Source organism: Homo sapiens, chromosome 15 (assembly GCF_000001405.40).
Source record: "Homo sapiens chromosome 15, GRCh38.p14 Primary Assembly".
NCBI lineage: Eukaryota > Metazoa > Chordata > Mammalia > Primates > Hominidae > Homo > Homo sapiens.
The window spans coordinates 38273405-38293719 of NC_000015.10; the positions used below are offsets into that span (position 1 = coordinate 38273405).

Consider the following 20315-nt stretch of genomic DNA (forward strand, 5'->3'; position numbering starts at 1 on the left):
TGTAAGAAGGGTTAAAGATTTATTGTCTGTTAACAACATAGAGCTCAGGATCAAATGAATATCATGAACTAAGTTTTTTTAACCTTAGCCTTAATTTTTATTTTTATGTATTATTAATATATATATATATATATATATATATATATATATATATGAATAATAGTTTTTTTCCTATAGGATGTGTAGGACTTTAGTGTTTTTAAAAAAATTATTCCCTTCACTAGCAAGAGCTTGAAAATGGATAATTTGTAGCTAAATGATAATTTAAATTTAAATGATAATTTGTAGCTAAATGATAATTAGCCCAGTTGGGTCTGGCATGAGATGTATGAGATGTGTCATTCTAAATCATGTAAATGGCCCAAACTGCCCGGATTTCTGATTGGAAGACGAAGGGAGGATTTTAGGTGAAGAACACGGTGGTGGTTCCCGACTCCTTAAATAAGTTGTCATGAACCTACTGAACTATGTTTATTTCTCCCTTTCCCTTCAGTTATTTATACTAAAGACTTGCTAAGACAAGAAATGACAGACAAGCATGTTTAAATAATCCCGTCACTACTTCTATTTTGACAACCTAGATAATCTTGAGAACTTTTTCACTATCACATATTAAAGAGTTATTCAAAGATATGTGGCCATTATTGGTAATTATGAGCGAGTCCTCCTCATATTGCTGTGTTTATTCAGAAAATTCTTATGCTTAGAGTCTACTTTAAGATCACAGTGACAGGGAGACAGGATTCATTTTTAAATGGTCAGACTACATTTTTAGAAAAAGTTTTTCCCTTTAGAGTAGAAGTTTAAGCACCCTTGGATACCCTTGGTTTAGAACCAAAATTCTACATGTAGGACCAGTTAACAATTTTGTTTCTTCCCACAGACTGGAAGGTGTACTGGGGGGAACTGCCAACAGGAAGTGTCAGGTATCTTGCAGCACCAGAGTCGGAAATGATAATGAAAGCTGCTAACATTTGTGTATTACTTTAGAATCTACAGAGCACCTTTATGTGCATTATCTCATGTGATTCTCAAAGCAGTTGTGAGATTTATGAAACTACATATATATTTATTCTCACTTTGAAATAATTTTAGACCTACAGGAGTAAGAAAAAATATACAAAGAATGCACATATCCTTCAGGCAGCTTCCTAAAATGTTTTACATAGCCAAATCAGGAAACTAGGATCTATACAATATTATTATCAACTGGCAATATTCGTATCTATTGATATTATTGAAATTTCACCGGTTGTTCCACTAATGTCCTTTTTCCAGTTCAGGATATGATAAATGATGTTGCATTAAGTTGTCATGTCTCTTTAGTCTCCTTTAAGGTGAAACAGCTGTTCAGCCTGTCTTTTATAACCTTGACACTTTTGAAGAGTACTGGCCAGGAATTTTGTAGAATGTTCCTAAATTCAACTTACATGTTTTTGGCAACAATACTATAGAGTGATGGTATCCTTGTGCATCAGTTCAACAGGTGGATGGTGTTGATATATCCCATTACTGGTAAATTTTCATCATTTGGTTAAGAAGATGTTTGTTTTGCCAGGTTTTGTAACTGTTCACTTTGTAATAAGCATCTTTTGAAAAGATAGTTTGAGACTAATAAATATCCTATTTTCTGTCATTCACTTGTTACTATTTTTAGCATCTGCTGATGATTCTTGCCTGCAACAATTACTGTGATGTTTGCCAAATGATTTTTTTTCTACTTCCGTCATTCCTTCTGCTTTTATTAATTGGAATTTTATAGAAGAGCCTTATTTTCTCACATTTATTTAAGTATTAGTATCAATTATAATCCATCACTGTCATCATTTTTATGCTCTGTTGTCCCAGACTTGGCCATTGGGAACCCCGTGAAGTCTGTTTCTATGTCCTTTTGACATATCCCTTCATTTTTTCAGCACGTCCTTTCTGGTATCATAAGATGCTCCAGGCTCATCTCATGCTTTTCTTGCCCAGCTTTGGAACCATCCCATTACTTAAAGAAGCTCTAGTTCCTTTTATTGGAGAATTGTATTTAGAAACTACTCTATGGGTGCTAGATGTGCTAATTGGCTTTGGGATGAGGCTGGTGGTATTATTATTACTATTATTTTGAGACAGAATCTTGCTCTGTCTCCCAGGCTGGAGTGCAATGGCGTGATCTTGGCTTGCTGCAACCTTTGCCTCCCAGGTTCAATCAATTCCCGTACCTCAGCCTCCCAAGTAGCTGGGACTACAGGTGCGCACCATCATGCCCAGCTAATTTTTGTATTTTCAGTAGCGACGGGGTTTCACCATGTTCGTCAGGCTGGTCTTGAACTCCTGACCTCGTGATCCACCCACCCCGGCCTCCCAAAGTGCTGGGATTACAGGCGTGAGCCAGTGCACCCCGCCGCTGGTGGTGTTATTAACCCTCTTTACAGTTGGAGAAAACTAAGCTGAAGTTAAAAGTCTTATTCACAATACCCAGGTAAGGTGATCCAGTTGGGATGTAAACTTGGACCTTCTTATTGTGGAGTCTGGGTTCTTTCCACTTACTCTCCTGTGGTACTGTAGTATTCCTTTCTTAACATTTGCTTTTCCATTAATTTTGTCATTTGTCTTGCCGGACAAGGACAGGACACAATCTAATTAAAATAGATTCAAGAAAATTATTTATTAATAATAGATACAGTTATTTCAATGCAAAAAATAGTCATTGCAGTGCCAGAAATATTTATCATATGCTTGCTATGTGTAAGGCAGTGTGCCAAACATTGCTGGTATGTGAGTATTTGCATATGTACTAGGAGACATTGTGCTGTGAATGTTTTTTTTTTTTTTTTTTACTGTGGCTCTTTTTCCCTAGATACATATTTAAGGGGTAGAGGTAGGTGTATAACAATTGTAAATTATGTCATTATCCATTAATTCAAATGACTTAGGATTTTTATATTATATAAATATGCGGAAGTGTTATATATATAGCATTTGTTTACATGTACCTCCTTTTAGTGCACTATCATTTCATAATTAGAGTAATACTATACACCCGTTAAATGATATTGTTTCATAATTGTAACATTATACACTCATTAAATGATACATATTTGCTAACCACAGTTAAGCACTTTATGTTGTTGCGTTTAATTCTCACAGTAGCTTCATGAGTTGGTCTTATTTTTCCCATGTTTCAGGTGAGCAAACAGACTTAAATTGACTCACCCAAGGCGTAATAAATATTATAAGGTGGATTTAAATCTAATTTTTATGCTACCTACAATGTGAAATACTCTTCCTATTGTGGATGTATTTTGTTCAGGCTTTCAAGTATCATTTTAATTCTCATGTTCAGGATTTGGTGAGTAAGTCTATTCTGTTTAAACATTTTTTGACTTACACATTTTGAGCCTGTCCTTTTAAAGTTTTTGCCTGATTTATGAAACACTGTAGTTTATCCTAAAGAAGTCTTATGGCAGTATCATTTTACTAACTTATGGAACATTCTTCTGGTCTATAAAGTTGTGTTAGGTTAGTGATCAGTATCCACAAGTAAAAAGAGGTGGATATATTTTTGTGCTAGTTTATAATAGCAGGCTAATGCTTGGTGTGCATTTCTTTTCTGGGTCATCATGATAGTTTGGGGTCTATCTTTATAAAAAATGATAGTAATATTCATAAAGCTTATCTTTGCTTCTACATTAAGAGAAGTAAATTTATTAAAATTTCTTGTGTCAGTATAAGGACTTTTTAAAACTTTTAGGTTCAAGGTTACACGTGCAGGTTTGTTATATAGGTAAATTTTATGACACGGGGTTTGATGTACAGATTATTTCGTCACTGAGGTAATAAGCATAATACTCAATAGGTGGTTTTTTTGATCTGTTCCCTCCTCCCACCCTCAAGTAGGCCCTGGTGTCTGTTCCCTTCTTTGTGTCCATGTGTACTCAATGTTTAGCTCCCACTTATAAGTGAGAACATGAGATATTTGGTTTTCTATTCATTCATTAGTTAACTTAGGATACCCATGGCTTCCAGGTCCATCCATGTTGCTGCAGAGGACATGATCTCATTCCTTTTTATGGCTGTGTAGTATTCCATGGTGTACATGTACCATGTTTTCTTTATCCAGTCTGCCATTGATGGGCATTTAGGCTGATTCCATGTCTTTTCTATTGTGAATAATGCTGTGATGAACATACATGTGCATGTGTCTTTATGGTAGAATGATTTATATTCCGTTGGGTACTTACCCAGTAATGAAGTTGCTGGCTTGAATAATAATTCTAACTTCTTTCAGAAATCGCCAAACTGCTTTCTGCAGAAGCTAAACTAATTTACATTCCCATGAGCAGTGTATAAGCATTCCCTTTTCTTCATATCCTTGCCAGCATCTGTTATTTTTTGACTTTTTAAGAATAGCTATTCTGCTGGTGTGAAATGGTATCTTTTGGTTTTGATTTGGATTCTTCTAATGATTAGTGATGTTGAGCATTTTTTCATGTGTTTATGCTTGTTCATGTATGTCTTTTTTTTTTTAAGTGTCTTCATACCCTTTGCCTACTTTTTAATGGGGATATTTGTTTTTTGCTTGTTAATTTGTTTAAATTAATGTAAGGATGTATTAATGGCAAGTAATATAGGATTAATTATATCTTAGATATTTAACATCAAATTTTATAAATGAAAACAGGTAAGAAATAAGAGAAGGTAGAACTATTTGTGTGTGTGTTTATTCACTAGCAGTAATGAAAACAGAAAACTCTCAAGACAGAAATTCATGTTTGTTACTAGAGAGCTCTTAGAAATTATTACTCCTGGCTGGGAGTGGTGGCCTATACCTGTAATCCCAGCACTTTGGGAGGTCCAGGTGGGCAGATTGCTTGAGCCCAGGAGTTTGAGACCAGCCTGGGAAATAAGATGAAACCCTGTCTCTACCAAAGATTTAAAAAATTAGCCTGGTGTGGTGGTGCGAGCCTATAGTCTCAGCTACTCTGAAAGCATAGGTGGGAGGATTGCTTGATCCTGGGAGCTGGAGGTTGCAGTGAGCCATGGTTGTGCCACTGCACTCCAGCGTGGATGACACAGAGAGACCCTGTCTCCTCCTCCAAAAAAGAAAGAAATTATCACTCCTTTTTGTATACTTTTTGTGTACATTACAGATTAACACTTACTGTTATTTGTGGGAGATTGGTTTTAGGATGACCCCTGACCAAATACCAGAATCTATGGATGCTCAAGTCCATTATATAAAATGATATAGTATTTGCGTATAATCTACACACATCCTCCCATATACTTTAAATCATCTCTGGGTTTTTTATGATACCTAATACAATGCAAATGCTGTGTAAATAGTTATACGGCATTTCTAAAGGAAGAATGACAAAGAAAAAAAAGTCTGTACATGTTCAGTACAAACACAACCATTATAACCTAACTACACTGTTTTTTTTTTTTTTTGTGAAATGAAGTCTCACTCTGTCGCCTAGGCTGGAGTGCAGTGGCGGAATCTTAGCTCACTGCAACCTCTGCCTCCTGGGTTCAAGTGATTCTCCTGCCTCAGCCTCCTGAGTAGCTGGGATTACAGGCGTACACCACCATGCCTGGCTAATTTTTGTATTTTTACTAGAGACAGGGTTTCACCATGTTGGTCAGGCTGGTCTCGAACTCCTGACCTCATGACCTACCCTCCTAGGCCTCCCAAAGTGTTGGGATTACAGGCGTGAGCCACCATGCCCAGCCTCCTAACTACATTTTTGATCCAAGGTTGGTTGCATCCAAGGTTGATTGAATCTGTGGATGTGGTACCCACAAATACTACAACTATGGTACACCCACGATATGATCGTACCATATTTGAATGTTAGTCAGTGACCAAGAAGAATTCTACCACATTTTCTTATTGTTGTACTTTAAATATGGTTGAATTTTCTCTGTAGAGCAATTACCAGTATGAGTCAAAGGCCATGATTTATGTAGGCTATAGCTCTGCAATTTAGATTGTTTACTAAAATTTAGTCTTAAGAGTGGATGCAGAATATTATTTCTTGTTTTCTTAATCTTATCAGGTTGCAAATTAGCATCTCAATCAAAAGAGGATGTGTGTATGTGGTTTTGTGCCAAACAGTGCTATCCTATTCTAATCACAACCTCTGAAGTAAACTTCCATTGGTACTTTTGAGTTGCTTCTGCCCAGATCAAGGTCCAGCTCTTTTACTTACCAGTTATGTGGTTCTGGACTTCTGTAAGCCATAGTTTCCTCATCTGTAAAATGAGGATAATCATCAGGATTAAATATAATCCTTGTAAAGCATTGAACCATATCTGCACATAGCAAATACTGAAGTGTTGAGTGCGTGTTAATATTAGTGGTAGTAGTAGTAGTAATTCATTGCAAGGAGACATTAAAAGTTCCTAATGTAGAATAAGAACTAGGTAATACATGACAAACACTTATGGGGGACTATCTAGGATAATTTTAGGAGTCTTCAGTGTTTCATGGAATCAAAGAAGTTTGGATTAGGAGAGGGCTTTGATTAGCATCTTTTCTTCCTTAATTTTATAGATGAGGGTGCTACATCTTGGAATGATAAAATAACTTGCTGGAACTATTACAGTTGCATGTGTCAGTCTCAGTGGAAACTTGGTCTTCATGACTGTAAGTTCAGTGTTGTTTCCACTGAATGTTGCCTTGGTCAATTTTTTCCTATAATTTTGCCCCTGGTAACCCCAGTGTCTTTAAAGGGAAATGATTTGTTTGGGAAGTCATCTTTTTCTTTATTTTTAGGGATCATTGATATCAGTAATCAACACTGATTCTTAAAGTGTAGGTAATATAAGTTGGAAGAGAAATACCTCATTTGCCTCCTTAAAGGAACACAATAGTATAATAATGTTTTTTGTCAGAATCTCTTCATGAATCCCTCCAGCAAGTTAATGAAAATCTCCAAAAACACTATTCAGATTCTCATGATAGCCAGAAGGGTATTGGCAGTAGATTGATTATTTAGCTTATAGATGAGTTGCTTGTTTACTCTTACACATTTGAAAAATACAGAAAGGTACAGAAAAGATAACCTTATCTATATCCTTATCCAGAATTGACATGGATATCATCTTTGCGTTAGATTTTTAAAAATCCATTGTTTTTTGTGGAGATAATTATAATTGAGTTAGACCATTAAATCTATCTTATCTAAAGATAAGAGATTTTAAAAATGTGATTTTTAGCTTGGGGCTACTTAGGACATTTGGTTAGGCAGTGTACTAATAGAGATAGTAAGCGTATATGTGGATCAGCAAACTGTTTTCTTTGATAATCAAAAGCCCTTGTTTGCCAAACCACAATTTAGAATGAATGAGTAGAAATTTAACATCTCTTATAACTTAAAAATAACTACTTGTGAACTCTATAGATCTTCATTCAGAATATGTAATTGTAAAGTAGATAATACCTTAAAAGAGAAAACAGTGAATCACTTTGCTAGTGGGTGAGCCTAGCTCATCACCTAAACATCCATATCTCAAAGGTTATTATTTATTCTTTTCCAGTACATATGTAACCATTGTGATAAATTCATAACCCACCAGTGTGATGATATATTTAGAAACTACATTAAATGAGGACAAGTTGTAGGAACTGGTCAGGTTGAACTTGGAGAAGAGTTGATCACTGAAATATTAGTTATCTTCAAATAATTGAAAACCTCATATAATAATGGGAGTAAACTTAGACTCTTTTGTCCCTGAAAGTAAAACTAGAATCAGTGGATGAAAGTAAAAAAAGGTGGGGGAGTAAGTTTTGTTTCTATACAAAAGAGAACTTCCTACTGATGTGATTTGTTTGATGATGGAATGGACTATCTTGTGAAATTGGGAGCTTCCTATAGTTATTTTCAAATGGAGAGTGAAAAGATTGATCATCCATGCATCTTTGCAAAAGGAGTAAGTATTGTGTAGTGTGTCAGATTAGTCTAGATCTTTTAGGTTCCTTACAACTGCCTAAGTTCTGTTTTTTTGATTTTTTGAGACGGGAGTCTCTGTCTGTCACCCAGCATGGAGTGCAGTGGTGTGATCATAGCTCACTGCAACCTCAAACTCCTGGGCTCAAGCGATTCTCCCCACTCAGACTTTCTAGTAGCTAAGACTATAGGTGTGTGCCACCATGCCCATCTAATTTTTTTTTTTTTTTTTTTTTTTTGTAGAGACAGGGTCTTGCTATGCTTCTCAGGCTGGTCTCAAACTCCTGGCTGCAAGTGATCCTCCTCAGCCTCCCAAGGTGTTAGGATTAGGCATAAGCTACCGTGCCTGGCCTTTTGATTTTTATGCATGTCATACACTGCTCTGTTTCTTACATTTCCACCCTTTGAGAAATGTACATTTTTGTATAAAAATATATAAAATACATAGCTTTAGAGACATGCTGTAAAGTTTGGGATTTATGGATGAAGAAGAAATTTTTGACCCCAATTAATCCTTTGGAATTTACTCAGTTCATGTTCACTTACAGAAGTTCCTGAAATTTCTAGATGTAAAGTCGATACCTAGTTCAGTATGAGCTCTTACAGGGTAAAGCCGATTTTATTGCTAAAGAAGGTATGTTTTTGTGGTTATTTATCTATGGAGTGAAAAAGCTTTACTTGTTTTAAGGGATTAATTTGAAGCTTTCTGAAGTTGTCATAGTCCAGTGGACACCAGCATCACTGAGTTCATATACTGTCCATAATACTCCATGCATGTTCCATAAATACATCTTTCTGGGAATGAGTGTTGGTTGGTTTACATTCATTAAGTTAACATTTCTTATTCTGGCCAGAATCGGTGGCTCATGCCTGTAATCCCAGCACTTTGGGAGGCTGAGGCCGGTGGATCACTTGAGGTCAGGAGTTTGAGACCAGCCTGGCCAACATCCTGAAACCCCATCTCTACTAAAAATACACACACACACACACACACACACATGCACACACACAAGTTAACCTGGCGTGGTGGCAGGCACCTGTAATTCCCACCACTTGGGAGGCTGAGGCATGAGAATTGCTTGAGCCGGGGAGGCAGAGGTTGCAGTGACCAGAGATTGTGCCACTGCACTCTGGCCTGGGCAACAGAGCGAGACCCCGTCTCAAAAAAAAAAAAAAATTCTTATTTCATTCCTCATGCTACTCAAGAAGCCATGGGTGGTATGTTTGATTTACTCCACCTTTGTCTGATGTAAAAGCCACTGATGTCGATGGATAAGCAGTGGTAGGATGGTTTGAGTTTGGGGATCTTGGAAACACTTGAAAATTCTTATCTATGCCCATTTCCTAATAGCGATGGGAAATGTCTCCTGTACATCTTTGCTGTTTTTATTCAGTTTAACTTTGCAGATGAAAAGTTTATAGATTAAAATTTCTCTGCTGATAGCTGTTTTTATTTCTTCATTGTCTGTTTTTTCTTTAAGGACCATGGTTTGTAGCTTTGTAAGTCCCTCGCTGTCATGCGTTGTTTTAAACCACGGTTTTCTTGCTACTTTGAGGACTGTGACACTGATTTGAATCTAGTATTGCTTATAGTTAAAAAGCTTCTTGTAAGTTCTAGTGTATTTCCATTAGATACTGGATTGCCGAACATTTTGGGGTGTAATGAGGTATGTTAGTCCGTTCTCACACTGCTATAAAGAATACTACTTGAGACTGGGTAATTATAAAAGAAAGGGATTTAGTGACTCACGGTTCCACAGGCTTAACAGAAAGCATGGCTAGGAGGCCACGGGAAACTTACAGTCATGACAGAAGGCGAAGGGGAAGTAGGCGCCTTCCTCACAAGGCGACAGGAGGGAGACAAGAGCGTGTTAAGGGGGAACTGTCAAACACATATATAACCATCAGATCTCGTGAGAACTCACTATCACAAGAACAGCTTGGGGGAAACCACCCCCATCATCCAGTCACCTCCCACCTGGTTCCTCCCTTGACATGTGGGGATTACAATTCAAGATGAGATTTGGGTGGGGACACAGAGCCAGACCATGTCTTGAGAGGTATAGGGAATAATGTGAAGGGATATGTAGACAAGGTCAGCATGTTTATTTTGTGAAATATATTACAGATTTTGTGATTTGTTTCCTTGTAGGTGTCAGGGGCATGATGATGGAATCTGCTTTTTTCAGTAAGTGCTATGAGCTTATATTTAGACATAGAAAATTGTAGAAAATGAAAAATATAATTGATGGAGAATATTTACTTCAAATATTCTTATTTTTATATAAGTGAAGCTGAGAGTGTGATATGAGTGGCTGTTTTCCTTTCCAGTCACAGCAGAACTAGAACAGCAGGGGTTTAAATCCTTACTCAGTGATGTGATCTTGTGCGAATCACTTACCCTCTTGAAGCTTTAGTTTCCCTATCTGTAATTTGGGGATAATAACCCTTTCTAGGGTTATGTCAGAATTAAAGATAATGTCTTTAACCAAATATTCAAAATAGATTAGGTAGATAGAGCTGCCTTACTATAGTGTAACTGCCTTACTAATAGTAAAAACTAATGGTAAAAATTAGGTATTTACTATTAAATGTTTATTATTAGAGCTCAGATCACTTTATTTTAGATAGTTTTCTTTGTCCATGTGATTATAAAAGAAGAAAATAAAGATAATCTCTACTTCTGCTACTAAGAGATAGCCATTATGACATTATGTTGTAAATTTTTCCAGATTATCTTTTAAGGCATATTTGATACATTTTAAAATGTTTTTATTTCTATAAAACTGAAGTTGTACTATTTTATACTATTTGGAAGTCTTTTTATTTACTGTATCAGCCTGTGAAAATACACATCATAGTAGTGGCTGAAAATTTACTTTTAGTCAGTTTCTTAGTGGTGGGTCCTTAGGCAGTTTCAAAGGTTTTTATTTTACCATAATAAACAATGTTGATACACAGTTTTGTTCATACGCTCATGAGTGCATGTCTCAGTTTCTTTAGAATAAATATTTAGATGTTACATTTCTGGGTCTAAAGGTATAATATTTTTAACTTGCCAGATTGCTGTATAAGATGTAATTTTATATTATGATACTAATCTTTGCCATATATGATAACATGTTTTTTCCTAGTTTGTCATTTGTCTTCTAATATCTTGGTGTTTTTAGCAATACAGAGATTTTACATTTTTATGCAGTTGAATATAGCAGTCTTCTGTTATAATTTCTGACTTTAGTGGAAGTTTTAAGTGGTATTACCACACAACTATAAACATATTTCTTTTAATAATTACAGTCTTAATTTTAGTGTAATGTAGAGATTCAAGTTTTAATTTTTTTTTCCGATGGATAGACTTTTACTTCACTATTCCTTGAGTAAACCTTCTGTTTTCTACAGATTTGATGTTCCTTGTTGTTATCACCTACTAAATGTTTGTATGCATTTGGATGCTTTCTGGGCTCCACTCCTGTGGTTTTTAAACTGTGCATAAGGGGTTACTTCATCTGGGATTTTTTTTTTTTTTTAAACCTATTTGTGGGCCTTGCCTCCAGAAATTTTGATTCAAAGTTTTGGTGGGATCTAGGAATCAGTTTTATAATAAACACATTTGGTTATTAAGATGCATGTGTTTTATGAGCCACACATTGAGAAGCCTTCCTCTGTTTCACCTGTACCACACCATTTTAAATACTAGATCTATTTTTTTTAAATATATTTTTTTGCTCCCAGCTCCTCCTGCTGCCTGACTGCCCCCTCCTGCTCCCTCTCCCTCCATTCAAGTAATGTATTTTTACATTACACTTGAATAACTACTAGGAAAAGCACCACCTCCAAATTAAAATGTTTATTTATTCAGCAGATATTTTCAGTGCGTATTTTGTGCCAAGCACTCTTCTAGTTTAAGGATGTATTCAAGAACAAAACAAAGATCTTTGAGTTTTTATGTAGGTGTGAGAGAGATCACAGAAGATAACAATGAAATTATAGTAATTAAATTATAGTGCTGTGGTAGCACAGACTACATGGTATGGATGGCAAATAGAGTGGAGATGATGGCAGTAGGAGCACCCCATTGAGAAAGTGATATTTCAGTAAAGCAGCGAGTCTTTTGTGATGGAATCTGGCATACAGAATATCTGGGAAGGGGTTTAGGTGGTGAGCACAATAAGAGTAAATGTCCTGAAGCAGGTGTATGCTTGGCATGTTTGAGAAGGAGAAAGAACAGTTTGGCTGGAACAGGGAATGGGAGGGAGAATGGCTGGAGATGAAGTCACACAGATTACAAGAGCCAATTTTTGTAGGGTCTTTAGAGTTTGGACTCTTTCCGTGCGTGAAATATGTGGCTCTTGGAGGTTTCTGAGCAAGACTCACATGACCTGATTCATGTTTAAAAGATCACTCAAATGTTCCTGGCTTTAATGTATACTTAAAGCTCATGTTTTTCAAGTTACCTTTTCCCCAGAATAGCCCATCGGTATTTTAAACTCAATTTCCAATAAACGAACAGACACGTTAGAATTGTCATCCTTGAAATACTAAGCTTTGCTTCCAGAAAACATACAATATCTTCTTACTCATTCATGCCCTTTATACCCTTATTAATGTTTTCAGATCAGGCAGGTGTGGAGGCTCATGCCTATAATCCCAGCACTTTGGGAGGCCAAGGAGGGAGGTTTGCTTGAGGCCAGGAGTTCAAGGCTAGTCTGGGAAACATAGTGAGGCCCTGTCTCTACAGAAAGTGAAAAAATTTAGCCAGGTATGGTGGCAGGTGCCTATGGTCACGCCTACTGAGCTGAAAAGCTGAAATGGGGAGAATCACTTGAGCTCAGGAGTTTGAAGCTGTAGTGAGCTATGATCATGCCAACCGCACTCCAGCCTCAAAAAAAAAAAAAAAAAAAAAAGTTTTGCAGATTGCTTCAGATTAGCTCTGTACATCATTATCCTATCAATTTTATATTATTTTTATTGTGAATTGGCTCTTTTTGTATGTGTGACAATTTCTAAATCATTGGTAAATAGGACAGTTTTTAAAATTTCCTCTATCTAACCACTATATTGCATTCTTTTGTTTTTCTAATGGGAAATCTGCTTGTATCTTCTAAGTAAGCAGTCACATAATCTGCAAACAAGAATAATTTTTAAATGAAGATTTATATTTATCTTTTTCACCATCTCCTCTAATCATTACTTATGGCTTTTTTTTTTTAAGTCTGTGGTAATGTCCTATTTCTGACTTTAATAGAATGCCCAGATATTTCATTTTTAGGCATGGTACCAATTATTGAAATACATTTTTATTGTTGTACATTACATATTATTAATTGAGCCTTTACAGTATTGATGAAGTATCTCATACTGCTTTACCATGAATATTTTTAAGAATAAATGTTGAATTTTTCATTTCTTTTAAACCATCATCCAAGTAAGTGAAGTTTTTCTGAAGCAGTGTCTTTTGATTGCCAGTTTAGTCCCCTTTCCAGTATTTGAATCATGGAGTGCAGACTTTGTAAAAATAATGTTGTCCCACTTTATCAAATTTATGTTTGAGATTTTGCTCCTCTTTTCTCTTTTTATGTATTTTTATTCATACTGCACATTATTATATTGCTACTTGTATTATATCTACAATCCTATTTAGATGGTGAACTTCTTGAGGGAAGGTATAGAATCTTTTTTGTATTTGTTTCCCATCACACATGTCTTATGTAATAATGCAGCTGTTACCATGTTAAGTTGAATTGCATTACCTCCTTAATTCTTTATTTAAAATGTGTAATAAGGCCTTTATTCTAGAGACTAGAAACAATTGAAAAAACAGAAAAATGCAACAGAGGTCAGAGTTTTAGAAGCACATTGGCTAGCACAGTTTTACCTCCAGAAGACATCTTCTGTCTATGTAGTTTTCTCATTTATTTGTCTAGTTATCTCATTATTCTAGTCTGTATTTCTCACCTGGATTTCTAGCATGCCACCTTCATCTATTGCTGACTCCCTTTCCCCCACTATCTTTTCATTCAATCTGCAAAACTGTGATTTTTCTTTAAACATACATCTCTTTCATTGTTTCTTTGATCAAAATGTGTTTTTTCTTAAAATAAAGAACAAAATCCTTAATATGGCCCTGTATGAGCTGGTCCATATATCCCATTACTGCTCCCTCCCCACTTAAAAAAATGTCCATCTGAATCTTGTAGACTATCATTTTCTCTAATGCTCTTTCTTGTCTGGTGGCCTTTGCATTCATATGTATGTGTTTCACATCTGTGAATTGAGCCAGCTACAGATTGAAAATATTTGAAAAAAATTGCATCTTTACTGAACATGTACACACTTCAAAATCTTATTATTCCCTCAACAATACAGCATACCACTGTTTACAGATGATTTAAAGTATACAGGAGGATGTCCATAGGCTGTATGCAAGTATTTTGCCATTTTATATCAGGGACTTGAGCGTCAAGGATTTTGATACTCAAGCGAGGTCCTGGAACCAATTTCACACAGATACCGAGGAACAACTGTAGCCTACTATCAGGAAAACCTTTCTTCTCCTTCCTTTATTTTTTCTTGTTTTTTGATTTCCCCTTGCTTATCCTTCTGATCTCTTAGGATCCAGAGTACTCCTGGTTCCTGGAAAGACTTGAATCATGAATCACTCTGAGATATGAGGTGGTCTTCTCTGAATGATACACAACTGAGAAAAGTTCTGTATCTTACAGTTTTTGCTTGGATTGTAACAATATACCTGTTTTCACCTCTCTATCATTAAGAGTTGCTTCTGGAGTCATGTTTACCTACCTTCAGTCAAAATTACCTGATCACAAGGGTCAGGGATAAATGAATATTGGTGGAAGACGGGAGCTCAGAAGAGGAAGGTAGAGGAAGGTACTGGAAATTTTCTACTTCAGGCTTGTTTACAACTAAACTTTCATAACATATGTTATTGTCTTCATAGAGGTTCATGAATATGACATGTTAATAAATTGAGAGGAAGGTTCGGAGTTTGTAGTGAGCAAGGAAAACAAGGTTCCTACTCATGGAGCGTAAATCCTATTAATGGAGGACAGACAATAAATAAATAAATAATTTCAGATAGTCATAGGCATTATGAGGAAGATAAAACCAGAAAAAGAAATAGTGGAGAGAAGGTGGATGGATGCTGGTGCTACTCCGAGGAGGATTCTTGTTAGCTGATGGCTTAGAAAGGAGCAACCGATAGAATATCTCAGGGGAATACCCAACTAAAGGAAACAGCGTCTAGAGCCCCACGGTAGAAGAGAACTATTATACTTAAGGAGTACAAAAATACTATCATTGCAATATAGTGAGTAAGCAGTAAGAGAGGTGGTCAGAGAGGTATAGCCTTCTAAGTTATAGCCATTATAAGATTTCATATTGCCAGGCTATGCTAACTCAGTATTTTTTTGCTTTGAATATTGTGTCTTTTTTTTATTGCTTTTCTTTAGTACTCAATATTTAGGATTATTCAAAGCCCTAAACTAGAGTAACTGTTTGGTTAGGCTACATTATCTGCAGTGATATGAGATAAATTATTCTGGATAGAATTTTACAGCAACAAATTTTCAGTTAGTTTATTCAAAATTAAGATTAGTTTTCTAGTTTACCAATATTCCAAATACAACATCATAACTTCCTTCGGAATTTAAACTACAGGTTTCCTGTGCCTTAAACCTTAGGAATCAGGGAGTAGACTTGGGAATCTGTGTTTTTAGTTACCTCTAAACCAATGGAATTTTTCGCTAAAACAAGTTTTGCCATGATTCCTGATTATTAGTGTGGTCATTATTAAATGAATTTGTTGGGGTTTTACAAGTTTTGTATTCCACGTTTAAGAAAAACTGCAATCAGTGCTTTGAAATGGAAAAAAAAAAGGTAATCTCTTTAATTTGCATTCCTCTTATTCTGAATAAAATTACTTTTTCTGTATTTCATGGCATTTATGTTTTTCTTCTGTGGATTTTATTCATGAACTTAGCCTGTTTTTCCTTTGTGGTGTTTGTCTTTTCTTACTGATTTTTGGAGTTACTTTTAAGGAAGTACCTTTTTTTTTTTTCCTGTTATATGCCATTTGTGGTAGACAGAATATGTCCTGCCCCTCCCCAAAGATGGCCTTGCCCTAATCTCCAGAACCTGTGAGTATGTTAGGATTTTGCAACTGTGATTAAGTTTGTGAGCTTTGATATAGGGAGATTATCCTGGATTATCTGGATGAACCTGGGCTAATCACATGAGCACTTCAGTGGATAACCTTTCCTGACTGTATAGGACTGTAGTCAGAGAAAGATATAACTACAGAAGAAGGTTCAGAGAGAAGCAATATTCATGACTTTGAGGGTAGAAGGAGGGAGCCATGAGCCAAGGAATGTGGATGGGCTCTAGGAACTGGAAAAGGCAAGGGAAAACTGTTTTCTCTTTTAGAGCTTCTTGAAAGGAACGCAGCACTGCCAGTACCTTGATTTTAGCCCAGTGTGAAACTCTTTGGACTTCCAACTCACAGAAGTGTATAAATTTGTGTTGTTGTAAGCCGCTAAGTTTGTGGTAGTTGTTAGGACAGCAATAAAAAGCTAATACATGTGTGTTACATATTTTTTTCCCAATTTGTTATCTTTGTCTTTATTGTTCATGGTGTTTTTACCATGCAGGAATGTGTTTAATATAGTTGAATTTATCCTTTTATATTTTAATGGCCTCTGGATCTTAGGCTTTCCCAACTATAGGATGATTTTAAAGTTTTTCATATTTTACTCTAATGCTTTTATCTCATCATGAACTCTCATATTAATGTTGACTGCCTGTCTTCTATGTTTTGATCTTTTGTTGAGAATGAATACTTTTTATAGTTCTCTTCTTCTGACGTAGACCAAGAGAATTTCAGAATGAAATCATAGTATCAATGCTAGTAATTAAGGAGTCATGGGGAATGGACACTAGTAGTACCAGAAGGCAGGGGACATTCGAAGTAGTTATAGTTTGAACTGTTTTCATAGGTTGATGATACTGTCTAGCAGAACCTAAAATGATTGATTCTAAAGGTGTAGTTTGTGAAAACCTCTATTCATCTCTCATATTTTAATTTTATTTCTTCTTCTGGAAGAATTCCCAGATGTCTGCATTATATAAACAGTTTGTGGAAGACTTAGATGACTGATATTTGATACTGTGTTAGTTTGTTTTCATGCTGCTGATAAAGACATACCCAAGACTGGGAACAAAAAGAGGTTTAATTGGACTTATAGTTCCGCATGGCTGGAGAGGCCTCAGAGTCATGGCGGGAGGCGAAAGGCATTTCTTACATGGTGGCAGCAAAAGAAAAATGAGGAAGAAGCAAAAGTGGAAACCCCTCATAAACCCATCAGATCTCCTGAGACTTATTCCCTATCACAAGAATAGTATGAGAAAGACCAGCCCTAATGATTCCATTACCTCCCCCTGGGTCCCTCCTACAACATGTGGGAATTCTGAGAGATACAATTTAAGTTGAGATTTGGGTGGGGACACAGCTACCCCATATCATTCTGCCCTTGGCCCCTGCAGTTCTCATGTCCTCACTTTTCAAAACCAATCATGCCTTCCCAACAGTCCCCCAGAGTCTTAACGCGTTTTACCATTAACCCAAAAGTCCAGAGTCCAAAGTCTCATTCGAGACAAGGCAAGTCCCTCTGCTTGTGAGCCTGTAAAATCAAAAGCAAGCTAGTTACTTCCTAGATACAATGGAGATACAGGTATTGGGTAAATACAGCCATTCCAAGTGGAATAAATTGTCCAAAATAAAGGGGATACAGGGCCCATGCAAGTCTTAAATCCAGTGGGGCAGTCAAATTTTAAAGCTCCAAAATGATCTCCTTTGACCCCATGTCTCACATCCAGGTCTTGCTGATGCAAGAGGTAGGTTCCCATGGTCTTGGGCATCTCTGCCCATGTGGTTTTGTAGGGTACAGCCTCCTCCTGGCTGCTTTCACAGGCTGATGTTGAGTGTCTGTGGCTTTTCCAGACACATGGTGGAAGCTGTCAGTGAATCTACCATTCTGGGGTCTGGTAAATGGTGGCCCTCTTCTCAAAGCTTCACTAGGCAGTGCCCCAGTAGGGACTCTGTGTCGGGGCTCTGACCCCACATTTCCCTTCCACACTGCCCTAGCAGAGGTTCTCCATGAGGGCCCTGCCCCTGAAGCACTTTTGCCTGGGCATCCAGGTGTTTCCATATATCTTCTGAAATGTAGGCAGAATTTCCCAAACTTCAATTCTTGACTTCTGTGCACCCACAGGTTCAACACCATGTAGAAGCTGCCAAGGCTTGGGACTTCCACCCTCTGAAGCAACAGCTTGAGCTCTATGTTGGCCCCTTTCAGCCATGGCTGGAGTGGCTGGTACACAGGACATGAAGTCCTTAGGCTACACACAGCACAGGGACAGTGGGTCCATCCTGTGAGACCAGTTTTTCCTCCTGGGCCTCTGGGCCTGTGATGGGAGGGGCTGCTCTGAAGGTCTTTGACGTGGCCTGGAGATGTTTTCTCCATGGTCTTGGGGATTAACATTAGGCTCCTTTCTACTTAAGCAAATTTCTGCAGCTGGCTGGAATTTCTCCTCACAAAATAGTTTTTCCTTTTCCACTGCATTGTCAGGCTGCAAATTTTCTGAACTTTAATACTGTTTCCCTTTGAAAACAGCATAAAACAACACCCAAGTCACCTTTTGAATGCTTTGCTGCTTAGAAATTTCTTCCCCCAGATACCCTAAATCATCTCTTTCAAGCTCAAAGTTCCACAAATCTCTAGGGCAGAGGCAAAATGCCACCAGTTTCTTTGCTAAAACATAACAAGATTCAGCTTTGCTCCAGTTCCCAACAAGTTCCTCATCTCCATCTGAGACCACCTCATCCTGGACCTTATTGTTCATTTCACTATCAGCATTTTTGTCAAAGCCATTCTCCCACATTTTCCTGTCTTCTGAGTCTTCCAAATTGTTCCAAACTCTGCCTGTTACCCAGTTCCAAAGTCACTTCCACATTTTTGGGTATCTTTTCAGCAATACCCCACTCTACTGGTACCAATTTACTGTATTGGTCCGTTTTCACACTGCTGATAAAGACATACTCGAGACTGGGAAGAAAAAGAGGTTTAATTGGACTTAACAATTCCACAGGGCTGGGGAGGCCTCAGAATCATGGTGGGAGGCGAAAGGCATTTATATGATGGCAACAAGAGAAAAATGAAGAAGCAAAAGCAGAAGTCCCTGATAAACCCATCAGATCTCATGAGACTTATTCACTATCATGAGAATAGCACAGGAAAGACCGGCCCCCATGATTCAATTAAGACCCCTTGGGTCCCTCCCACAACACATGGGAATTCTGGGAGATACAATTCAAGTTCAGATTTGGATGGGGGACACAGCCAAACCATATCACATACTTAGCTATGATTAATAATTCTTAGCGTTAAAAGTTCTGAGAGGGAGCTGTCACCTTGGTTTTTTATACAAGATCATCATAAATAATGAGACAAATTTAGACAATTTGATAATGCGGTTGTAGTAACATAAAGTTGATTTAATATATTAAGTCATTGTAATAACATTTATTGGGCACATAACAATGAGCCAGGCAAAATGCTAAGAAATCTACATGCATAACCTCATTTATTTCTTATAGCACTGTGATAAATATTATTATTTCCATTTTATAGACCAGGAATAGGGATATAGAGAGCTTAAGTAATTTACCCAAGATTACAACTTTTTTTTTTTTTTTTTTTGAGACGGAGTCTCGCTCTCTCACCAAGCTGGAGTGCAGTGGTGTGATCTCGTCTCACTGCAACCTTTGCCTCCCAGGCTCAAGTAATTTTCCTGCCTCAGCCTCCTGAGTAGTTGGGACTACAGGCACACGCCACTACGCCCATCTAATTTTTGTATCTTTAGTAGAGACAAGGTTTCACCATCTTTGCTAGGATGGTTTCGATCTCTTGACCTCGTGATCCACCTGCCTCGGCCTCCCAAAGTGCTGGGATTGCAGGAGTGAGCCACCACACCCGGCTCCAAGATTACAACTTTTAAGAGGTGACACTGCCTTTGGAACCTAGATCTGACTTGTTATTAAACAGTGCCATGTTTAATATTTGCTCTAGTTTTTAGAGTTGCCAGTGCTAAAGGAGTAATACAGATCTTCGTCTTTCTAATCAAACTCAGCTCTTCTCTGTAAGATGAAGAAATATCTCCTTCATTAGGGTTAATGCAGTAGTGGTCTCCTACTGCTCTTAGAGCTTTTAAAATACAAATCAGAACATTCTGCTTTCTTGCTTATTATCATCCTGTGGTCTCTTTATCGTGATAAAATAGAGTACTAACCTTGAGCATAGT

At 37.1% G+C, this 20315-nt stretch overlaps 1 protein-coding gene across 5 annotated transcripts in view, besides 1 other annotated feature; it reads left to right on the plus strand.

Moving 5' to 3' along the window:
• Positions 1 to 20315, plus strand: part of SPRED1 (sprouty related EVH1 domain containing 1) — a 104414-nt gene that overhangs the window by 20569 nt on the left and 63530 nt on the right. For 2 of the 5 annotated variants that reach the window (XM_047432199.1, XM_005254202.4), the window contains one exon: positions 10093 to 10128. The exons of the other annotated variants lie outside the window; for them this stretch is intronic. Coding sequence is in view for 1 of the 2 variants with exons in the window: in XM_005254202.4 (XP_005254259.1) it covers positions 10093 to 10128 (36 nt within the window). In the remaining variant the exon portion in view is untranslated. The remainder of the gene's footprint in view (positions 1 to 10092; positions 10129 to 20315) is intronic. 5 annotated transcript variants of the gene reach the window in all.
• Positions 9761 to 9961: a silencer, noted in NCBI's record as "peak2297 fragment used in MPRA reporter construct". NCBI's record gives its function as "represses an SCP1 promoter by STARR-seq MPRAs in K562 erythroleukemia cells {active_cell/tissue: K562}" and the evidence as "EXISTENCE:reporter gene assay evidence [ECO:0000049][PMID:32103011]".